Source organism: Homo sapiens, chromosome 11 (genome assembly GCF_000001405.40).
Source record: "Homo sapiens chromosome 11, GRCh38.p14 Primary Assembly".
Taxonomy (NCBI): Eukaryota; Metazoa; Chordata; class Mammalia; order Primates; family Hominidae; genus Homo; species Homo sapiens.
The window spans coordinates 102,503,250-102,518,498 of NC_000011.10; the positions used below are offsets into that span (position 1 = coordinate 102,503,250).

A 15,249-nucleotide genomic window follows, 5' to 3' on the forward strand; every position below is an offset into this window, starting at 1 on the left:
TCAGGTTTGTCAAAGATCAGATGGTTATAGATGTGTGGGGTTATTTCTGAGGCTTCTGTTCTGTTTTGTTGGTCTATATATCTGTTTTGGTACCATTACTATGCTGTTTTGGTTACTACAGCCTTGTAGTATAGTTTGAAGTCAGGTAGTGTGATATCTCCAGCTTTGTTCTTATTCTTAGGATTGTCTTAGCTGTGTGGGCTTTTTTTTGGTTCCATATGAAATTTAAAGTAGTTTTTTTCTAATTCTGTGGAGAAAGTCAATGGTAGCTTGATGGGAATAACATTGAAACTATAAATTACTTTGGGTGGTATGGCCATTTTCATGACATTGATTCTTCCTACTCATGAGCATGGAATGTTTTTCCATTTGTTTGTGTCCTTTCTTATTTCCTTGAGCAGTGGTTTATAGTTCTCCTTGAAGCAGTCCTTCACATCCCTTTTAAATTGTGTTCCTAGGTATTTTATTCCCTTTGTGGCAATTGGAATGGGAGTTCACTCATGATTTGGCTCTCTGTCGTCTGTTATTGGTGTATAGTAATGCCTGCGATTTTTGCACATTGATTTTGTATCCTGACACTTTGCTGAAGTTGCTTATCAGCCTAAGGAGTTTTTGGGCTGAGACAATGGGGTTTTCTAAATACACAATCATGTCATCTGCAGACAAAGACAATTTGACTTTCTGCCTTCCTATTTGAATACCTTTATTTCTTTCTCTTGCTTGATTGCCCTGGCCAGAACTTTCAATACTATATTGAACAGGAGTGGTGAGAGAGGGCATCTTTGTCTTGTGCTGGTTTTCAAAGAGAATGCTTCCAGCTTTTGCCCATTCAGTATGATATTGGCTATGAGTTTGTCATAAATAGCTCTTATTATTTTGAGATATGTTCCATCATTACCTAGTTAATTGAGTGTTTTTAGCATGAACAGTTGTTGAATATTATCGGGGCCTTTTCTGCCATCTATTGAGATAATCATGTGATTTTTGTTATTAGTTCTGTTTATGTGATGGATTACATTTATTGATATGCATATGTTGAACCAGCCTTGCATCCCAGGGATGAAGCCCACTTGATCATGGTGGATAAGCTTTTTGATGTGCTGCTGGATTCGGTTTGCCAGTATTTTACTGAGGATTTTTGCATCGATGTTCATCAGGGATATTGGTCTAAAATTCTCTTTTTTTGTTGTGTCTCTGCCAGGCTTTGGTATCAGGATGATGCTGGCCTCATAAAATGAGTTAGGGAGGATTCCCTCTTTTTCTATTGATTGGAATAGTTTCAGAAGGAATGGTACCAGTTCCTCCTTGTACCTCTGGTAGAATTCAGCTGTGAATCCATCTGGTCCTGGACTTTTTTTGGTTGGTAAGCTATTAATTATTGCCTCAATTTCAGAGCCTGTTATTGGTCTATTCAGAGATTCAACTTCTTCCTGGTTTAGTCTTGGGAGAGTGTATGTGTCGAGGAATTTATCCATTTCTTCTAGATTTTCTAGTTTATTTGCTTAGAGGTGCTTATAGTATTCTCTGATGGTAGTTTGTATTTCTGTGGGATCAGTGGTGATATCCCCTTTATCATTTTTTATTGCATCTATTTGATTCTTCGCTCTTTTCTTCTTTATTAGTCTTGCTAGCGGTCTATCTATTTTGTTGATCTTTTCAAAAAACCAGCTCCTGGATTCATTGATTTTTTGAAGGGTTTTTTTTGTGTCTCTATCTCCTTCAGTTCTGCTCTGATCTTAGTTATTTCCCACCTTCTGCTAGCTTTTGAATGTGTTTGCTCTTGCTTCTCTAGTTCTTTTAATTGTGATATTAGGGTGTCAATTTTAGATCTTTCCTGCTTTCTCTTGAGGGCATTTAATGCTATAAATTTCCCTCTACACACTGCTTTGAATGTGTCCCAGAGATTCTGGTATGTTGTGTCTTTGTTCTCATTGGCTTCAAAGAACATCTTTATTTCTGCCTTCATTTCGTTATGTACCCAGTAGTCATTCAGGAGCAGGTTGTTCAGTGTCCATGTAGTTGAGTGATTTTGAGTGTTTCTTAATCCTGAGTTCTAGTTTGATTGCGCTGTGGTCTGAGAGACAGTTTGTTATAGTTTCTGTTCTTTTACATTTGCTGAGGAGTGCTTTACTTCCAACTATGTGGTCAATTTTGGAATAGGTGTGGTGTGGTGCTGAAGAGAATGTATATTCTGTTGATTTGGGGTGGAGAGTTCTGTAGATGTCTATGAGGTCTGCTTGGTGTGGAGCTGAGTTCAATTCCTGGATATCCTTGTTAACTTTCTGTCTTGTTGACCTGTCTAATATTGACACTGGGGTGTTAAAGTCTCCCATTATTATTGTGTGGGAGTCTAAGTCTCTTTGTAGGTCTCTAAGGACTTGCTTTATGAATCTTGGTGCTCCTGTATTGGGTGCATATATATTTAGGATAGTTAGCGCCTCTTGTTGAATTGATCCCTTTACCATTATGTAATGGCTTTCTTTGTCTCTTTTGATCTTAGTTGGTTTAAGGTCTGTTCTATCAGTTCAAAGAACCCTGTCAGTGCCTCAGCAAAAAGAAAAGCCTGAGTGAAATTTCAATGATCCCTTTTCATTTTGATTAGAAACAGAAAGAAGTTCTTCAATCCGCTAGTGAATGAAATCAAAAATTCCTCTTTGCCAAAGGAATCACCTGAAATTTCTTTTATGTAAAAATTAAAAGAAAATATAAACTAATTGTTTGTTTTTTTTAATTTTTAAGGTCAGGGTACATGTGCAGGTTTGTTACGTAGGTAAACTTGCATCACAAGTATTTATTGTACAGATTATTTCATCAGCCAGGTGATAAGCCGAGTATCCTTTAGTTATTTTTCTTGATCCTCTCCCTTCTCCCACCCTCCATCAGGGTGTGTTGTTCCCCTCTATGGGTCCATGTGTTCTCATCATTTAGCTCCCACTTATAAGTGAGAACATGTGGTATTTGGTGTTCTGTCCCTGTGTTAGTTTGCTAAGGATAATGGCCTCCAGTTTACGGAAAATGACCAGAAACATCAGAAAGTTCATGGTGACAGGTATATAGAACTCTGAATTACTGCTTTTTAATTTATGCTTCTTCATTTTCTTCATAGGTAAATGTTGGTTTCTCCAAGGAACTTCAATAAGACTTTGTTTGTGGTAGCTCTTTTATGCCACCTGAAATTATTTTTAAAAAGCTTTACTGAGTTATAAATGATACACAGATAACTACACATATTTAATGTGTACAATTGGTTGAGTTTAGACATAAGTAAACACCCATGATATCAACACCGCAATCAAGGTAATAGAAATATCTAACACCACCCAGGGTTTCCCTGTGTTCCTTTATTTTTGTTTTTAATTAGAAATAACTCTGTATTTATTTCTTTCCAAGCATTATAGCAATACATATATTTCAAAAACCAGAATGCCTCTTCTCCTCCAAAGGATCTCATTTGAATCTAATGATATGGTAATTCTGGAAGTCAGATTCTCTCCCATCCCTAGGGTTTGCCTTGCCTTTTTTTTTTTTGTATTCTTTTTTTTTTTTTTTTTTGAGACGGAGTCTCGCTCTGTCGCCCAGGCTGGAGTGCAGTGGCGTGATCTCGGCTCACTGCAAGCTCTGCCTCCCAGGTTCACGCCATTCTCCTGCCTCAGCCTCCCGAGTAGCTGGGACCACAGGCGCCCGCCACCACGCCCAGCTAATTGTTTTGTATTTTTAGTAGAGACGGGGTTTCACCTTGTCAGCCAGGATGGTCTCGATCTCCTGACCTCGTGATCCACCTGCCTCGGCCTCCTAAAGTGCTGGGATTACAGGCGTGAGCCACCACCCTCGGCCTTTTTTTGTATTCTTATAGGTGGTCTCTGTGCCAAGGATCAGCATGAAGTATAAACTTAAGGTCTTCTCAGGTCTTTTCTGAGCCTGAGCCTACCCTAGAGCATGCATGATGGCTTTCTGATTTCCCTTGTATATGCAGTTGTCTGTTAAGGTTGTGTCTTCAGTGTCTGGTCCCAAAAGGGGAAAAAGAGAAAAATGAAGGAGGAAAAAGTGCTGGCCGTTTAAATCCCCTGGAAGTTATTTCAGTCAGTTGGGGAGAGCTTGCAACAGTGAGGGAGATGCAAAAACAATGGCCATAACCTCTTTGTGTGATCAGAAGCAGCAATCTGGAGATCAGAGCACAAATACCTAATAATTGCAGGACAGGGTCCTGTTCGTCCACCCTGGCTCTCAAAGTTGTATGAAAGTTGTATTATATAAAGCTGCTCCAGGAACAGGTGCACAATTGCCTGCCACTGGGCTTAGAGTGGGGGATGGGTAGCCGCTACTGTATTAAGAGCTGAAATTCACCAAAATTCACTACAATTTACTATCTAAGCTGTCCCCTGGAAGATGGAAGCCTTGCATTGACTCCAGAGTTCTAACATAGTTACATCAGACAGATTCTTCCAGTGCAATTGTCATCTAGGTGAGGAGCTAGATTTCTGGTAGTTCCAACTCTGCCATCTTCCTAGAATCCTCACCTGTGGTTCTTTTTAAAGTTCTCTTTTTCCTTAATTTCTTAGGCATTGATCTAATTATGTACTGTGGATAACTCAATTTTCTGTATTTTGGGAGTGACTTGAATGATTTAATAATTTGAATATAACCTTAATGGAAGTTTATGTTAGTGAAGCTTTCATTTAATTTCCGAAATAACTGTTTTTACACATATATATATATCCAATTCCATTAAGAAGCTGACAATCTAGAGTGGACTCCTTAATTAAACAGAAGATTGTTAATTCAATGAGGTAAGTGATGAATGTGAGGGGTAAAATGTTAGTTACCGAGGCAGCTCTTAAGAGGAGCATCTAAGCAGGTTTAGGTGAGTGTGAGATCAGTGAAGGTATTCTGGACGTCAAGACATATAGACTGAGAGGTGAAGAACTCCAGAAGTAGCCAGGTGAAGAGAAGTGGCTCCTTTTATATCAGTTTTAAACTCTGTAAGCTAGGTTGTTTCCCTTGTAGAGCCCCAATGAGTGATTCTGATAACACACGTTTTCCTTCATATCCTTGCTTTTCATAATAGAATTGGTAGCATTCGTAAATTTACTCCAGGGTGAAACAAAATATTTTGACATGTAAAGGATTCTAAAATCATAAAAGATTATCAACAAATAGTATCTTTTTAGTTGATCGTTCAATTTTAGAACTAGAAGGATCGTAAGTCTTGCTTTATAAAGGAAGGGAATTAAAATAAATGATGATCCGTAGCTAAGAGAAGAAAGCCCAAGTCCTCCCTACTAGTTAGAGCATAATTAGGATCAAAACAGAACTTCAGACATAGTTCAATATTTTTTCTGTTTCATATGATTATTTTTACATTAACAACAACAACAACAACTTAACAACAACAACAACAACGATGTGAGAACAGCTGTGGTTAGCTTCACACTAGGTTGGCACTGGGAGAAAAAAATAATTAACTTACTTTTTTATATACCACTTCAGTCACCTTTGATCTGGTCTTCATTCTGCATTGTTGGACTCTATTTTTCTGGAAAGTTTCATGGCAAAAATGGTGAATAACACCAACAAGGAGAGGAATACTACTACATTCTATTTTTTCCCTTTATAGTTAGATTCATTTGTTTTTGTGCTAGCATGGCCAAAAAATAATTTATTGGAAGAACATTAGAATGCTTTATGAAATCCTAAAGAAACCAATGAACAACCAGGGCGTGGGAAAGAAAAGTTTTACAGTATTTCTGGGATCTTCAGCAGCTTATTTGAAATATAGGGATCTTTCCTGTGGGATCTCACCACAAGCGAGACTCAGCTCAGAGCTCCCAGTCTCTAGGCCTCTCTATTCACTGTGGTTACTTTGTGGGGTCTATGTGCATACAAGGGCTTGCTCTGTTCAGGATGGTGTCTTTCAGGTTAGAACAGGGCCTGGAAAATGGTTGCTATGGTTTGGATACAGATTGTCCCCACTAAATCTCATGTTGAAATTTAACCCCCAGTGTGGTGGTGTCAGGAAGTGGGGCCTAGTGGAAGATGTTTGGGTGATGGAGGCAGATTCCTTTTGAAGGGCTTGGTGCTGTTCTTGCAGTAGTGAATGAGTTGTTGTTCTTGGGAGACTGGATTGGTTCACAGGGGAACGGATTATTTCCCTTGAGAGTAGGTTGTTATAAAACCATGATGTCCCTCAGTTTTGGGCCCTGCTTCACACACACCTGCTTCCTGTTTGACCTTCTCCATCGTGTTAAGACTTAGCACAAAAACCCTCACCAGAAGCCAACCAGATGCTGGCGCCATGCTTTTTGTATAGCCTGCACAACTATGGGGTAAATAAATCTCTTTTTGTTTTTTTTTGAGAGGGAGAATCACTCTGTCACCCAGGCTGGAGTGAAGTGGCACTATCTCGGCTCACTGCAACCCCTGCCTCCCAGGTTCAAGTGATTCTCCTGCCTCAGCCTCCCAAGTAGCTGGGATTACAGGTGTGCATCACCGCATCTGGCTAATTTTTGTATTTTCAGTAGAGACAAGGTTTTGCCATGTTGGCCAGACTAATCTTGAACTCCTGACCTGAAGTAATTTGCCCATCTTGGCCTTCCAAAGTGCTGGGATTACAGGCATGAGCCACTGTGCCTGGCTTGGCCAAAACCTATTTTCTTCATAAATTGCCCAACCTCAGGTATTTCTGCATAGCAACACAAAACAGACTAAGACAATGGTAAACCATCAGTACATATTGAATGAGTAAGTGAATGGAATTCCACAATTCCCTATGGAGAAAGCACCTGGTTGGTCCTGCCTGGGTCAGGTGTCTGCCCCTGCTCCCAACAGCTGCGGCAGGAGTTGGGATAGTATACAGCTGGCATGAAGGCCTGCTATAGGTCAGGATACTCCTCAGGGAAGAAAGACTGTCAGAGAAGGGGGCTGATGACTTGAAAGTGAGTTATTTATGTTTGTTCTTAAGAGACTGACAGGCAACCAACAGTTCTGGAGAATTGGCATTTAAAATAAGAACAGATTGTTGTATAAACTTTGGTGTCTTTTCATGTACTGTATCTAAACTTGGTATTCCAATTAGCACATTTCCAAGAAATAAAATATCATCTATTGTAGGATGAACAATTTCTTTGTGTGCCATTAAAAAAGAAGAGATGTTAAAGAAGTAGAGTCTGATAGGAAACACTGACATGAAGCTCAGACACCAATGACTAATCTTGTGGTACAAAGATAAATGAGAAATAAACCTGCTACACCAAAAATACAGCAAGGCCCAGCCTGGCCAGCATGGCGAAACCCCATCTCTACTAAAAATACAAAAATTAGCCTGGCGTGGTGGTACACGCCTGTTATCCTAGCTACTCAGGAGGCTGAGGCAGGAGAATTGCTTGAACCCAGGAGGCAGAGGTTGCCCTGAGTCGAGATCATGCCACTGCACTCCAGTCTGGGCAACAGAGCAAGACTGTGTTTAAAAAACAAACAAACGAAAACCCAGCAAGGACAAATGACTATGTCAATTGTAGTTTGAGGAACTGGAGGAAAAAACATCATAATGCCTTAATGTATGAATGCTAAGCTGGCACTCCTACAGGTTTGCTGATGGAATTCACACAAACAGTGTGGCCTAAACAATCTCAAGCAAATGATTTAATATCAAGTGATGTCAGGTTGATAGAGCCCCATATGTTTGGCATAAACAAAACCAAATCCTCTTCAGGAGAACTGCCAGCAGCTATTGTAAGATGCCATCTTATTTTAGCAGTGTAAACATGTACAAATGTATGTTTTACAATCTGTGAAATTGGCAATGTGCTGAATAATTGTGGAAATTCACCCATTTCTCCAGCATCCTAAATTCACAGATTAACCATAGAATAAAAGTGGGTTTTGAGAGGGTGAGGAGAGTTTAGCTAGGCAATGATAAAAGGAGACATATATGGAAATCAGAAAAGATTTAATCTCCTGGCACATCAAAGATGATTTCGTCTCCTGGAACAGCAATCACAGAAAGACTAGTTTATAATTTTAGCAGCCCTAAAGTATTTTAAATTCAGCCTTAAGAAAATGCATAAATTGGATGATATTTGTCTTGGTCATTTCCATGTAAGATCTTTTTGTCTTTTCTGCCCCATTCAGAGAATCATAATTTCATCCCATTCATGTGGCCTCAGGAGAGGATCAGTATCAGTTATTTTCTTCTTGGTATAAATTTGTGTTTATATATTACTTCTTTCCTTTTTTTTTTTTCAAAAATGTGTTTGCAATTGTGGAATAAATTTTCAGGCATTTGCTTAGAAGTGGAGGAAGCATTGGATATCAAAGTCTCTCCTTAGCACACCTGTAATTATACCATATGAGCAACACTCTTGCCTTCCTCTTTCTTGTTTCCTCACATTTTTTATAAATAAAATATCTCAAAATGTCAACAGTAATTATTTCTGTTTGATTTTAAATTATTTTATTTTTCCTCTTTGTATGCATTTTTATTTTCAAAAATTTTCCCATGGACATATATTGCATTTATTTAATTTTTAATAAAAACAACACTTTTATATAAATTAGAAAATGAAACCCACAGGGAAAAGTGTTCCCAGAAGGAAAAGCAACTTCTCTTTTTCCTTCCCCCACCAGAAGTAATACATTTTCTTTTATTTTTAGTTGTCTAAAAATAGTTACCTCCATGTTATTGAATAATATGCTTACATCACTATTTCTTTTCTTTCTTTCTCTTTTTTTAGACAGGAGCTCATTCTGTCACCCAGGCTAGATTGCTATGGTGGGATGACGGCTCACTGCAGCCTCCTTGACCTCATGGGCTCAAGTGATCCTCCCACTAAAGCCGCCCAAGTAGCTGGGACTACAGTGCGTGCCACCATGCCAGGCTAATTATCTATCTATCTATCTATCTATCTATCTATCTATCTATCTATCATCTATCTATCTACCTACCTATCTATCTATCATCTATCATCTACCTATATGTATCTATCTATCATCTATCTATATATCTATCTATCTATCTATCTATCTGGTCAGTTTGTTTTTTGAGACAGGTTCTTGCTCTATACCTCAGGCTGGAGTGCAGTGGTGCGATCTTGACTCACTGCAACCTCTGCCTCCCAGGTTCAAGCGATTCTCCTGCCTCAGCCTCCTGAGTAGCTAGGATTACAGGCACCTGCCACCATGCCCAGCTAATTTTTGTATTTTTAGTAGAGATGGTGTTTCGCCATGTGGGCCAGGCTGGTCTTGAACTCCTGACCTCAAGTGATCCACCTGCCTTGGCTTCCCAAACTGCTGGGATTACAGGCGTGAGCCACCACACGCGGCCATAATTTTTAAATTTTATGTGGAGATGTGGTTTCACCACGTTGCCATGTTGGTCCTGCGTGGGTCAGGTGTCTGCCCCTGCTCCAAACAGCTGTGACAGGAGATGGGATAGTACACAGTTGGCATGAAGGCCTGCTATAGGTCAGACATACTTATTAGAGAAGAAAGACTGTTAGAGAAGGGAACTGATGACTTGGAAATGAGTCCCCGGCTCAAGTGATTCTCCCGCTTTGACCTCCCAAAGTTCTGGGATTACAGTCATGGGCCACCACACCCAGCCTATATCACTATTTCTTTATCAGTGTTAGGTGTTCTCTACTCAGAGAATTTGCTCACTAGTTCTACTCTCTGCTGTCCTTCCTTTCTGCCCCAATTTTGAGAGTTATATCATTATTGGTTTTGCTTGTAACTTTACATGATCTATGTAAATCTTTGCTTCTTGTTCCATTAGTTTCAGGGGCATCTCTCCATTCCCCACCCTGTAATAGGAGGCTCTCAAAGCCTCTGGCATTCTCTGCATCTCTCCCTTCCCTTCACCTCCCAACTTCCCATATTGTTACATTTTCATGATTGATACAACTTTTTCATTCTCTATCCATCATTAAATTGCCTGAGCTTTATCAGTGTGCTCATTATGAATACTAAACAACCAATAAAGAGCATTTAAATTAATCACCGTGTCAACATTATTCAGCTCAGGGCTGAGCAGTGAGCTACAACCATACTTCTTCTCTCTGGTTCCGACATGACCCCTGCCTCTCACAGGAGAATTTTCCCTTCAGTTCAAATGTGCTATCCTTTCTCCAACTTCTCTGATTACTCTTTGAGTAATTACTCTGATTACTCTTTGAGAATTACTCCTGTCACGTTTGAGTTTGTGGCCTTATATTTGGATCATGATTTTTATTATAATTCCTCATTTTCCCTTGGATATCTGATTGTCATTTTTCTCCATTGGGAGATGAAGTTTATGTCCCTTCACCACAGCCTATATATTTTACAGATTTTCACTCACCATTTCATGTATTGTTTAGTAGCTATTTCATTTTTTCTTAAAAACCATCTTTTTTTTTTAGGTCCCATTGACTTACTGTTGTAATTTGGACTGGTTGCTTTCTAGCCCTGGAGCACAGCTATCACTCAGAGATTCTTTTTCCATCATTTCCCTATCTCACATCATCTTTCTTGGATTTCATCCTTTGTGTTTGCAATATATTTTAAATTAGTTATCTCAGAAAATGTACACAAGGGATAGACTTTCTGAACTCCTGTCGTACAAGTTGAGTTTATGTTGGCTTCACACTTATATCAGTTTTATAGGGCTGACATAAAGAGGTACCATAAATTGTATGGCTTAAAATAAGTCTCACAGTTCCGAAGGTGAGGTCAAAAGTAAGGTGTCAGCCAAGTTGGTATCTGAGGGAGAATCTGTTCCATGTCTCTCTCCTAGCTTTGGGTGGTTGCCAGCAGTCCTTGGCGTTCTTTGGCTTGTAGTTGCATCACTCCAGCTTCTGCCTCTGTTACTGCCTGGCGTTTTCCTTGTGTGTCTCTGTGTTCTTCTGTCTTTACATGGCTTTCTTAGGACAACAGTCATTGGATTTAGGGCCCACTCCACTTCAGTATGGCCTCATTTTAACTTGATTACCTCTGCAAACACCCCATTTCTAAATAAGGTCCCATTTTCACAGGTACAAGGGATAAGCACTTCGACTTGTCTTTTTGGGGACACAATTCAACCCACAACCACACTGGATAGATGGTTTGGCTGGGTATATATAGAATTCTAGGAAAAAAATAACTCATCCTCAGGGTTTTGAAGACCTTAATTCAGTCTAGCTTAGAATCATTTTTGCTGATGAGAAATCTGATGTCAGTTTAATTCTATTTTGTTGGAGTCCTTTTTTTTTTTAAAAAAAAATCTTGGGGCATGGTTAAAATCTCTTTATTCTTGGTGTTCTAAAATTTTAACGTGATGTTGGCTCTTTCGTTTGAAGATTCGTTTTTCTCCAAACCATTCACCCTTCTCAAGACTGGAAAATGTCCAATTATTTCTTTGATAATTTTCTTTTCTTTATTTTGTCTATTCTTTATTTTGTCTATTCTTCATTTTTGGAAATCTTATTGGCTGTTGTAGCAGACAAGGTTCAATGAGAGGAGCAGAACCACTAAGAATGATGTAAAATAAGGGACTTATAGGGATTTATACTCATACCGTTGTGGGAGCTGGTAAAACGATCTTGATTTGGCTGTTTCTTCTGCATCTGGTGCTGAACTTGAAGTTACAGGACAGGTGTTAGCAGTTAAAAGATAGAAGTAAAGTGGGGAGAGCAGGACACCTGGGACCTGTGAAATGAGTAACAAGCTGGAACTTTTCTCCTTCTATCACAGGTGCTTGTGATGGCTTCTCCTTGTTGCTAGGTCTCTAACCTTGCTTCTGTGTGTGCCCCATAGAAGATACTAGTATTATTGTGTGGATCCACACTCAGGCCTAACTCAGGAGTTGGAGAAGTTGAAGGAAGAGATAATGTGGGAGCTGGAGCCCTGGGCCTGCAGTGTTTTGTGCTCACAATGTGAATGAGCAGAACCACGAAATTGTGCATGAGCTGCAACAGCACCAGACTCATATCAACCTTGGTAGAGCAAGTATTACTTTACTTCCATGGTCCAAATTCCATGTAGATTTTTCTTGTGGCCAGCCCTAACAAGAAACATAGAGAAAGGAATTCTGGGAAATAAAGTTTAGCTTAGTTAAGTTGACATATTTCAAAGCTGACAGAATTGGGTATTGGACCTCCTGAATTGATCTTTTCTTCTTCCTTTTTCTGTCCTATTTTCCATTTTTTTGTCTTTCAGCTCTTCATTCTGAGTGGCTTTCTTTATCTTCCAACTCTTTTACATTATACTTCTCTCTTGACAATCATAAATTCAATTTTCAAAAGTTTCAGCTTATTCTCTGATAATTTTTAATATAATCTTAGTATTACTTTTGTTTTGTTTTGTTTTGTTTTGTTTTTGAGATGGAGTCTCACTCTGTCTCCCAAGCTGGAGTGCAGTGACACGATCTCGGCTCACTGCAACCTCTTCCTCCTGGGTCCAAGCGATTCTCCTCCCTCAGTTTCCCAAGTAGCTGGGATTACAGGCACCTGCCACCACGCCTGGCTAACTTTTATATTTTTAGGAGAGACGGGTTTCATCATGTTGGCCATGCTGGTCTCGAACTCCTGACCTCAAGCGATCTGCCCACCTTGGCCTCCCAAAGAGCTGAGATTGCAGACGTGAGCCACCGCCCCTGGCTGGTTACTGTTTTTTATGTGTGTAATGTCGTCCCAAATTTCTGTGAGAATGTCCTATTTTTTTTTTCTCATACCTCTTCTATTCTGTAAATTATTTCTGTTTTTTCTGGGGTGAATTTTTTTGGTATCACCACCTTTTTCAATGAGTTGTTATTTTGTTCCCAATCTCATTTAAATAAGGGGTGTGGAGACTAAAGCAATTCCATCTTGGATGTTAATCCACCATGTTATCTTGTCATTAACCCCAGTTCTGTGAAGGCTTCCAAGATTTCCGGCTTATTTATTGTTCCTTGTGTAAGAGAAGGTACTTACCATAAATTTCTGGTCAAAACAACCTTGACGTTACTGTGCTATGGTTGTCCTACCTGTCCCTTCTGAAGCATGTATACCCTTTCCCTATGGCATGTGAGTACTGGTTCTGCGGGTAATGGTGCAGGAATCCACCCTCTCGTCTTATGGCTGCCCAAGATAAGGCTTCTGTTTGTAAGTCACTATTAAATGTTTCTTTCTGAGAAACTGGATTTGTCAGCCTCTTTCTTCAGCCCCACAGCTTCCTCAGCCTTTGTGGGTAGATTTGCCTAGACCTGTCCACCACAGAACAATGCAACAAGAAAGCTGACTAGGAGCCTGGTGTCCATGGATGTTCTTGTTCACTCGTACATTTAAGTTAGGATGAGCAGATGGATGGAGCCTTCCCTATTCCCAGCCTCAAAGCCAAAATATGGTTATTTTGTTCAGAGGCACAGAACCCAATTTAAATGTCCTGTTCTCTCTCAATTTTTTTAAAAAACTTGTTTAGCAAAGAACCCTTTGATATTTTGCCTGGAAGTGAACATCTGGCTCTCTGCCATTTTTGTTAAAGGGATGAAATGAAGTTAATTGTCTTATACACATGTACTCATACACAGTTAATCGCCTAATACCATTTTTCACCCTGCCTTCATTAAACCTTCTAACTGAGATTTCAAAGCCTCTGAGGAGTTGGACAATTTTAACTCCCATTTTCACTGTAGGCCTCTTTGTACATCCTAGGCTGAGGCTGGTATGTTTTGTCTATTAGCTGTATTAGATCTTACAGAAATTAATTGAAATCCCTTGTCCATTGCAGACCTCCTCCTGCTCTGTTTTATTCCTTCACTACTGCTTAAAAGAAATCTTTGAAGGGAGGGAAGACAAATTCATGTGCTAAGACCTCTTTCTTAAACTGGAGTTTATTGACTTTAAAACCAGAAAAATAACAAGTAATTTACAAAATACACCCAAGTCTTATGGACTTCTATAAATACATAGTACCCTGGCTTTGGAATACAGATTTTTTTCTTTTAAGACAGGGTGTCGCTCTATCACCTAGGCTGGAGTGCAGTGGCGTGATCTCAGTTCATTGTAACCTCTGCCTCCTGGGCTCAAGTGATCCTCATGCCTTAGTCTCCCAAGTAGCTGAGATTACAGGTGCCTGCCATCACACCTGGCTAATTTTTGTATCTTTAGTAGAAAGGGGGTTTTGCCATGTTGGCCAGGCTGGTCTTGAACTCCTGACCTCAAATGATCCACCTGTCTTAGCCTCCCAAAGTGTTGTGATTACAGGCGTTAGCCACGTGCCCAGCTGGAATTCAGGTGTTTTTTATTTCTTAAAATATGACAATCTTTTCCTCAAATAAGTGTCAAAAACAGGCAATGTCACCTTAATCTTTTACTGGTTTTCCTTTCTCATGGGATGGTACAGAATTAGAGTATGATAGGGTCCTGGGTGAAAATGGTAGAAGGGATACTAAGTATAATACAATGAAATAGTTTATTCTCTTTAGCTCAGTGGTTCTCAACTGGGGGCTATTTTTCCTCTTAGAGGATATTTGGTACTGTTTGAAGACTTTTTTGGTTGAGAGAACTGAGGATATTCTATTGGCATCAGTGCATAGAGGCCAGGGTTAACTGTAAGCATTCTTTTTTTTTCTTTTGAGACAGGGTCGTGCTCTGTTGCCCAGGCTGGAGTGCAGTGGTACAGTCATGCCTCACTGCAGCCCTGACCTCCTGGGCTCAAGCAACCCTCCCACCTCAGCCTTCCAAGTAGCTGGGAGCCCAGGTACGTACAACCACGCCTGGCTAATTGTCAAATTTTTTGTAGAGATAGGGTTTTGCTATGTTGCCCAGGCTGGTCTTTAATATCTGGGCTCACACAATCTGCTCACCTTAGCCTCCCACAATGCTGGGATCATAGGCATGAGCCACTATGTCTGGCCTAGTATTCTTAATACATAGGACACAACAAAGAATTATATAGTCAAAAATGCAAATAGTGCTGAGGTTAAGGACTTTTTCTCTTGTGCAACAATGTGAATATACTTAACAATACTGAACTGTACACTTAATGGTTGAGATGGCAAATTTTATGTTACATGTATTTTACCACAATTAAAAAAATGGGTCCTTATTTGCTAGGAAAAATTTTTGTTTACCAGTTAGTTTTATGCTATTTGATCAGAAAAAGAACATTTTATTTACTTCTATGCTCTGTTAGAGCTTACTTCATTGTCAAGATTGAAGGATAATATGTGGTGAAATACAGAACGGAGCCCGTGTGTGCAGATACCCTAGGAAAGCCAACTAAGCTACTGTGCCAGAATTTGCAAACCACAGAAAT

At 39.6% G+C, this 15,249-nt stretch overlaps 1 annotated feature.

The window, feature by feature from the left end:
- Positions 8,016 to 8,185: an enhancer, noted in NCBI's record as "experimental_18559 CRE fragment used in MPRA reporter constructs". NCBI's record gives its function as "activates a minimal promoter by MPRAs in K562 erythroleukemia cells, with activity observed for both the introgressed and non-introgressed 11:102382081 variant alleles {active_cell/tissue: K562}" and the evidence as "EXISTENCE:reporter gene assay evidence [ECO:0000049][PMID:34662402]".